The following is a 9,296-nucleotide window of genomic DNA, read 5'->3' on the forward strand; positions in this document are numbered from 1 at the left end:
TTTTTATATTGGAAAGAACCATAAAGTTTGGGATAACAATCCATTTGAAGTTGGATTATTTCAAGGAAAGGATGTATCGTGATAACCCTTTACTACAAATATCTTGATAACTCCCTCCCATACTCTGTTGTAGAAACTGCTGGTTTAATGACAGCTTGAGATGCACACTGTCAGCCAGAATTTATCATTCATTTAGTCATTCAACAAACAAGTAGTGGTCATTTTCTATTGCCAGTCACTCTTCTAGGCTTTGGGGATTCATCAATAAAAACTAAAATGAATAAAACCAAAAGTCAAAGATCCTGGTCTTCATGAAGATTATATTGCAGGTCCCATGATAGATGGTTAGTTAAGAGAGATGTACATAAGTTTTAACCATATTGTGTCATCTCTGTAATATAAATGCAGCAAGGTAATTTTTTAAAAATGTATTTGGAGAGTGGGGCCAAGATGGCCAACTTAGATGCAGTGTGATTGGAGGCTCTCACCGAAAAGAACCAAAACAGTGTGTGAATCCTGCACCAGCAACCAAGATAACCAGGTTCTGTCATCAGAACTGATTAGGTGGCTGGTGTGACTTACGGAGAGGAGCAGGATGGTGGGTCAGCCCACCTGTAAGCCACACAGGGCAGGGGAGCCCATACCTCCAGACAAGGGAGGCGGTAAGTGAGCATGCTACCCAGCCTGGAAAACCGTGCTTCTTCCATGGAACTGTGCAACCCATGGATCAGAAGATCCCACAGATGAACCCATGCCACTGGGGCCTTGGGTCCCAACTACGGACCTACGCAGATTCTCAACAGCCTCTCTGCTGGAATCTGCCTAAGCCTACTGAGTTCTCAGGGGGAGGGGCAGCCATCACCACTGCTGCTGCCTGCTGTCTAAACCATCTGAGCTCCTTGAGGGAGGAGTGGCAGCCACTGCCTCCATTGCCTAAGACAAAAGAGCTCCCCGAGGGAGTGGTGGCCACCACCACTGGTGCTGCCAGCTGTATAAGCTGTCTGAGCTCTCTGGGGGAGGGGGAGCAGCCAAAACTGAGGCTGCAACCTACTTAAGACACTAAGCTACATAAGACATAGCTGTAGGCCACACTTTTCTCCTGCTGGAGCCAGGGAGGCTGGACTGCTTGGTCCCAGAAGGTATTCCCTATAGCACAACACTCTGGCTGTGGCTGACTGCAGCCAGATTGCCTCTTCAGGCTGCACCCTGACCCATCCCTCCTCACTGGGCTGGACCCCTTGCAGGAATTCCAGCAACTCCAGCCAGGGGGCTCAGGGAGAGAACTCTGATCTCTCTGAGCCTGAATGCCTAGGGGGAGTGGTGGCCATAGTCTCCATAGACCATCAGACTCAGTCTTTCTTCCTGCTAACTCTGAGGAATCCAGGCAGCCCAGATGAGTGGGTTTCCCCCAGCATGGCACACTCCCTCCATCAAGGGAAAACCAAAGCGCTTTATTAAATGGGTCCTGGTTCCTATGCCCACCAACAGAGTAAGACCCCCCCTCCCCACACCAACAGGGGATGCCAGACACCCTATACAGGAGCTTTCCTATTGGCATTAGGTTGCTGTCCCCTCGAAGTCAGAGATCCCAGAGGAAGGGGCAAGCACCCATCTGGGCTGTTCTCCAGCCTCCTCCGGAGACATCTCCAGGGGCAGGAGTGAACCGGATGAAAAGGGCAAATGAAAGAAATAAAGGGTATTCAAAAAGGAAGAGAGGAAGTCAAAGTGTCCCTGTTTGCAGATGACATGATTGTATATTTAGAAAACCCCATTGTCTCAGCCCCAAAACCCCTTAAGCTAATAAGCAACTTCAGCAAAGTCTCAGGATACAAAATCGAGGTGCAAAAATCACAAGCATTCCTATACACGAATAACAGACAAACAGAGAGCCAAATCATGAGTGAACTACCATTCACAATTGCTACAAAGAGAATAAAATACCTAGGAATACAGCATACAAGGGATGTGAAGGACCTCTTCAAGGAGAACTACAAACCACTGTTCAAGGAAATAAGAGGGGACACAAACAAATGGAAAAACATTCCATGCTCATGGATAGGAAGAATCAATATTGTGAAAATGGCCATACTGCCCAAAGTAATTTATAGATTCAATGCTATTCCCATCAATCTATCATTGACTTTCTTCACAGAATTAGAAAAAACTACTTTAAATTTCATATGGAACCAAAAGAGAGCCCGTACAGCCAAGACAATCTGAAGCAAAAAGAACAAAACTGGAGGCATCTCACTACCTGACTTCAAAATATACTACAAGTCTACAGTGATCAAAACAGCATGGTACTGGTACCAAAACAGATATATAGACCAATGGAACAGAACACAGGCCTCAGAAATAATACCGCATATCTACAACTATCTGATCTTTGACAAACCTGACAAAAACAAGTGATGGGGAAAGGATTTCCTATTTAATAAATGGTGTTGGGAAAACTGGCTAGCCATATGTAGAAAACTGAAACTGGACCCCTTCCTTATATCTTATGCAAAAATTCACTCAAGATGGATTCAAGACTTAAAATCTAAAATTATAAAAACCCTAGAAGAAAGCCTGGGCAATACCATCCAGGGCATAGGCATGGGTGAAGACTTCAAGAGTAAAACACCAAAAACAATGGCAACAAAAGCCAAAATTGATAAATGGGATCTAATTAAACTAAAGAGCTTCTGTACAGAAAAAGAAACTATCATCAGAGTGAACAGACAACCTACAGAATGGGAGAAAATTTTTGGAGTTTATCCATCTGACAAAGGTCTAATATCCAGAATCTAGAAGGAACTTAAATTTACAAGAAAAAAACAACCCCATTAAAAAGTGGGTGAAGGATATGAACAGACACTTCTCAAAAGAAGACATTTATGCAGCCAACAAACTTGAAAAAAAGGCTCATCATCACTGGTCATTAGAGAAATGCAAATCAAAACCACAGTGAGATACCATCTCATGCCAGTTAGAATGGCAATAATTAAAAAGTCAGGAAACAGATGTTGGAGAGGATGTGAATAAAGAGGAATGATTTTACATTGTTGGTGGGAGTGTAAATTAGTTCAACCATTATGGAAGACAGTGTGGCAATTCTCAAGGATCTAGAACCAAAAATCCCATTTGACCCAGCAATCCCATTACTGGCTATATACCCAAAGGATTATAAATCATTCTACTATAAAGACACATGCACACATATATTTCTTGCAGCACTATTCACAATAGCAAAGAACTGGAAGCAACCCAAATGCCCATCAATGATAGACTGGATAAAGAAAATGTGGCACATATACATCGTGGAATACTATGCAGCCACAAAAAGGAATGAGTCCATATTCTTTGCAGGGACATGGATGAAGCTGGAAGCCATCATTATCAGCAAACTAACACAGGAACAGAAAACCAAACACTGCATGGTCTTATTCATAATTGGGAGCTGAACAATGAGAACACATGGACACAGGGAGGGGAACAACACACACTGGGGCCTGTTGGTGGGGGCGAGGGGAGGGGGAGCATCAGGGAAAATGGCTGGTGCATGCAGGGTTTAATGCCTAGGTGACAGGTTGATAGGTGCAGCAAACCACCAAGGTACCCATTAACCTATGTAACAATCCTGCACGTTCTGCACATGTATCCTGGAACTTCAAGTAAAAATTTTAAAAACTTATGTGTTTCACATTCCTACTCACTTTCACACCTGTCATTGCTCCCTTTGTGGAAGGGAGAATCACAGAGAACAAAAATGTCAAATCCCAACTATTCAAGTTAATTTTTCCAACTTCCAACAGAGACAATAGTTTATTTGTTAAGATATGTGAGTGTCAAAGAGGTAGCTTTTGCAAACTGCAATCCAAATATATCTATATAGCTTTGGAAAGAATATATTATGTAATGATAGAAGAGCTGATTTTCCTTCCCTAAACTTCACTAGGTTGGAAGAAGGTACAGGAAATAAATCAAGATACTGAAACATAGGTGAGTTCCCCGAAAGGGAAGCCTGACACTTTAAAATGATGTAGATAATTCTAGATATATTTTAAAGTAGGAAAGACCAATGAATCCCTTCCAATCTTATGCCCTGGGAGAAAGCAGCACATTTTCTTTGAGGGTTGAGAGCCTTTTATTTGTTGTGCTTTGTCTTTAATAAACTTTATTGAGGAATCATTTACATGCAATAAAATACATATATATTTAGTGAACAGTTCAGTGAATTTTAGTCAGTGTATACATTTGTGTAGTCAGTACCACCATAAAGATAGAGAATCATTCCAAACCTCTAGAAAGTTCCCCTTCCGGCTCTTGGCAAAAATTCCCTTATTTTCTGCACCAGGCGACCAGTGATCTGTTTTCTAACATTATACATTAATTTTGTCTATTCTAGAATTTATATAAATTGAATAATTTACTAGGTATGCTTTTGCATCTGGCTTCACTTGCTTAGTATGTGGTTTTTGAGATTCATTCTTATTGAAATTTTTAAAACAGGAATTTAGCCTGGATGACTGACTTTGTCTTCAACCTAAGCCTCTGGCATTACCTGTGTCTGTTTTTGGCTTACTATGACCATTTCTAACTTTTCAAAGCAGCACACGGTTTACAAAAGAAAGGTTGTTGTCAGTATAAGAGAGGGAAAGTGTTTTTTGTTGTATAAGTTTCTCAGCATACATTGACCTGGTTGGCATCATTGTGTTGATAATCCAGGAGGATGTTTTCTTATAAAAATTTTGATATTATAAAACTTTTATAGGCAGTTGTCCTAATACTATTTTAGGTTTTTGGTTTTTGAAAACACTTCTGGAAAGTCTAAAGGGTCATAACCAGAAAGAAGCAGTAACTCACCTGAGGGCTAATTCTTTTGCTGAAGTTGAGTCATCTGACCTTTAAATGCCCTCTGATAGAGCCAGATACTCTTACAAAACAATGCTCTCCTAGTTTTCTTGTACTGCTACAGCATAATACCCGGGACTGCATAATTTATAAGGAACTGAAATGTATTTCTCATAGTTCTGGAGGCTAAAAGTTCAAGATCAAGGTGAGGGTAGGTTCAGTTGTCTGGTGAGGCTACATCCGCTGTAGGAGTGGAATGCAGTGTGCTCCCTTGGCTGGAGAAGAAGAATAAGCTAGAAAACTAGCAAAACTAGCTGAAAGACAGGTGATAAAGATAAAGCTGAAAGGCAGTTAATAAAGGCCTAATCCCATTAATGAGAGAGGAGCCCTCATGACCTAAATCATCTCTCAAAGGCCCTGCCTCTTAATACTATCACATTAGCAAAATCTGAATTTTGGAGGGGACACATTCAAAATAGTACTCTTTTATTGGATAAAAATGTATAGATGAATTTAACATGGATAGGTATATGCCGTAAAGTTTAAAAAATAAAGAATCTTAGTTTGGCTTACTGTTTTCATTTAGGTTTCTGTGGCATGTGCTAATAGTTTAGGATAACCTCAGGTTAGTTTTGGTTCTACTTTTTATACAAATGTTGAAATACTCCGTATCTAATTTTTCTTTTTCTTCCCTTCCTCCCTCCCTACCTCCTTCCTTCTCTCCATGTCTCCGTTTCTTTCAGCTTCTTTTAGCCCATTACACTTTACTCTGCATTGTCAAGGTGGCAATGAATAGGAAGATTGGAATCAGTGTGAAAAGGGTCTATGGATATTCTGCTGTTCAGAATGCACATTGCCAAGCTTTTACGTTGAGGAGGGGTCTGAATTTGCCCACAGTAACCCTTCCCAGGGTCTTTGGATAAAAGCCATAGAAGCTGAGCTGTGATATCCTGACAGGAAAGTAGAATTCACAGCAATTGTCCTCAAAGAGCTTACCTGCCTAAGATGCATATGAATGCATTTAATTATTCCTTTATTGGCACCCACTCCAACATCCAGAGCCTATTTTGTTTTTTATCATCATCATTGCCTGCTGTTTACCACTGTATACCTTGCTAATGGTGTGGTTTCCATGGCTTGTTAATTTCATGGCCAAATAATATTGTAATTTATTGCACTCTTTAATGTGGAAGCCTGAGACTCCATAAATTCTTGTGCATTTTTCCCTCTTTGGAATATTAAACAGATCAGGCAAAGTAATAAATTTATTTCAAATGCACTTGATAGCAAAACATCGATTAGGACTGATTGGCAATATTTCTTCTTTCAGCAACTGTGACTATTTTTAAAGATTATTTTAAACATTGAATATGAAGTTACTTAAGACAGGACTCAGTTCACTAGGATCACTTAGAACAATAAAGGGAAATTTGTGATGGCTATCTGTAGCTTATTCAAATATTGACTAATCAGCTCCAGCTTGGCTAATTTAATTTGTAAGAATTCATTTAGTATTTTATTAACTCTTGCCCTTCCCCTATCACTCTCATAAGAATGGATCATTAGAATCTTAAAACATACTAAGTCACTTTCTATTTCTGCAACTCTAACTAAAAAGCACTTCTTACTTATCTAATGTAACCTGCTTTTAGAATAACTGAGGCTTTAATTAGCTCTAAAATTAAAGCAAATAAACAAAAAGAAATACATCAAGGAGCCACTGAATTTTAGAGCTTGAGGATGAAGACTTTAGAATTAAGGACAAATCTATCATTTTAGAGCTAAAACAACTGAGGCCTAAATTTAGAAGGTAGTTGCCCAGACCACGGAAAGGGATAGAAGACCAGGTTCCAAGCTGAGAGAGAGATGGGCAACACTCAATTGGAGCATTTCAGAAACTGAAATGTAAGCCCCTAGGGCTTTGGGAAAGCTGGCATCTGGATACAGTCTTGAGATTTCAGACAGACAGTGGGCCCGGTGGGCCCTGAGCTTCTGTAGTGGGCAGGGAACATCACCATGTCTTCTGAAAATGTTACAAAATGCAGGGACATGAACAGTGACTTCCATTGCTAAATTAATTCTGAGTTTAGATTTACCTCAGATACTTGAGAAAGATCTTAAACAAGGGCAAAGTCCAAGTCTGTTTCTTTAAATTCATGCTCCGCGTTTAGTGGTAGAGGCACTTAAACTCTTCAACTGATTCCAACACTTTTATTTTACTCTATGTTTAATTCTAATAGTCCTACAATTGATTATTTAATAAATGAATAGCTAGCATCACAAACAGTGTGAAGGTCTGTATAAAGAGAGTAAGGATGGGGGAGTAGAACAGTGTAGAATAGGGTATCAATATGAAGTGATCTTGGTAAATAAGAACAGCTATTAGAAATGAAAATACATTCAGTAGGAAATGAGTGCCTGACATCCTCCCCTACACGCTGCATGTTTAGAAGTTGGTTTCTAAGTCCATGTTTTTTCCTCCCCATTTCCCTCTTCCTTTTAGCCTCTAGCAACCGTTAACTCCACTTCCTGTCTCTTATGATTTTGACTATTTAGGTACCCCATCCCCATATAAGTGTAATCAGTATTTGTATTTTTGACTGGCTTATTTTACTTATAATATCCTCAAATTTCATTCCAGTTGTAGTATGGGTTGGAATTCCCTTTCTTCTTAAGGCTTAATACTAGTCCATTGTATGTGTATATTACATTTTGACTATCCATTCATCTGTTGAGGGAAACTCGTGTTGCTTTCACTTTTTAGGTATTGCAACTAATGTTGCTATAAACACGGGTGTATACACGGCTGGGCGCCGTGGCTCACCCCTGTAATCCCAGCACTTTGGCAGGCTGAGGTGAGCAGATCACTGGAGGTCAGGAGTTCGACACCGGCCTGACCAACATGGTGAAAACCTGTCTCCGCTAAAAATACACAAATTAGCCGGGCGTGTTGGCACATGCCTGAGGCAGGAGAATCACTTGAACCTGGAAGGCGGACATTGCAGTGAGCTGAGATTGCACCATTGCACTCCAACCTGGGCAGCAAAAGCAAAACTCCGTCTCAAAAAACAAAAAAAACATGGGTGTATACATATCTCTTTCAGACCCTAAGACCCTGCTTTCAAATCTTTTGGGTATATACTCAGAAGTGGAATTGCTGAATCATGTGGTAATTCTATTTTTAATTTTTTAGGCTCCACCATACTGTTTTCTATAGCAGCTATAACATTTTAATTTTCTCACCAACAGGGTACAAGGATACCATTTTCTCCATATCCTCATCAAACTTGTTACTTTCTGTTTTTTGTTCCTTGAGAGCAACCATTCTGATGGGTATGAGGTTGTATCTCATAGTGGTTTTGATTTGTGTTTCCCTACTAATTGGTGATATTAAGAATATCTGTATGCTTCTTGGCCATCTGTATACCTTCTTAGGTTAAATGTCTGTTCATGTCATTTACCCATTATTGAACTGGGCTGTTTAATGTTGTCATTGTTATTGTTGACTAGGAATTCTCTATATATTCTGAATATCAATACTTTGTTAGATACATAGTTTGCAAATTTCTCCCATTGTGTAGCATGCCTTTTCACTCTGTAGGTAGTATCTTTTGATTCACAAAAGGTCTTAATTTTCATGAAGTCTAATTTGTATATTTTTTAATTGCCTGTGCCTTTGGCATCATATCCAAGGGATCACAGTAGAATCTAATGTTGTGAAGCTTCTGCCCTATGTTCTTTTCTAAGAGTTTCATAATTTTAACTCTTTTTTTTTTTTTTTTTTTTTTTTTTTTTGGAGATGGAGTTTTGCTCTTGTTGCCCAGGCTGGAGTGCAATGGCGCGATCTCTGCTCATGGCAACTTCCACCCCCCGGCTTCAAGCAATTCTCTCCTGCCTCAGCTGCCCAAGTAGCTGGGATTACAGGTATGTGCCACCACGCCCAGGTTATTTTGTATTTTTAGTAGACACAGGGTTTCTCCATGTTGGTCAGGCTGGTCTCGAACCCTTGACTTTATATGATCCGCCTGCCTTGGCCTCCCAAAGTGCTGGGATTACAGACGTGAGCCCCCACACCCAGCCAATTTTAACTCTTACATTTATGTCTCTTATCTAGTTTTAGTTAATTTTGTATATGGTATTAGTTAAGGCTTCAACTTGATTCTTTTTCATATGGAAATTCTAGCACTGTTTATTGAAAAGATAGTTCTTTCCCCTTTGACTGGTTTTGGCAATCTTATAGAAATTTATTTCACCATGTTTTCAAGTGTTTATTTCTGGACTATTTTATTCTATTGGTCTATATGCATATCTCTTTTTATGCTAGTACCACACTATTTTGATTACTGTCAGCTTTGTATCAAGTTTTGAAATCAGGAAGGGTGGGCCCTTCAATTTTGTTATTATTTTTTTTATTCCAAGACTGTTTTGGCTAGTCAGGGTTCCCTTGAGATTCCAAATTA

At 39.8% G+C, this 9,296-nt stretch overlaps 2 annotated features.

Moving 5' to 3' along the window:
- Positions 515 to 1,015: an enhancer, noted in NCBI's record as "H3K4me1 hESC enhancer chr9:82852704-82853204 (GRCh37/hg19 assembly coordinates)". NCBI's record gives its function as "activates a minimal SCP1, AML or CMV promoter by ChIP-STARR-seq in naive H9 embryonic stem cells {active_cell/tissue: H9 hESC(naive)}" and the evidence as "EXISTENCE:reporter gene assay evidence [ECO:0000049][PMID:30033119]".
- Positions 1,016 to 1,516: an enhancer, noted in NCBI's record as "H3K4me1 hESC enhancer chr9:82853205-82853705 (GRCh37/hg19 assembly coordinates)". NCBI's record gives its function as "activates a minimal SCP1, AML or CMV promoter by ChIP-STARR-seq in naive H9 embryonic stem cells {active_cell/tissue: H9 hESC(naive)}" and the evidence as "EXISTENCE:reporter gene assay evidence [ECO:0000049][PMID:30033119]".

The sequence above is a fragment of the Homo sapiens genome, chromosome 9 (assembly GCF_000001405.40).
Source record: "Homo sapiens chromosome 9, GRCh38.p14 Primary Assembly".
In the NCBI taxonomy this organism is placed as follows: Eukaryota; Metazoa; Chordata; class Mammalia; order Primates; family Hominidae; genus Homo; species Homo sapiens.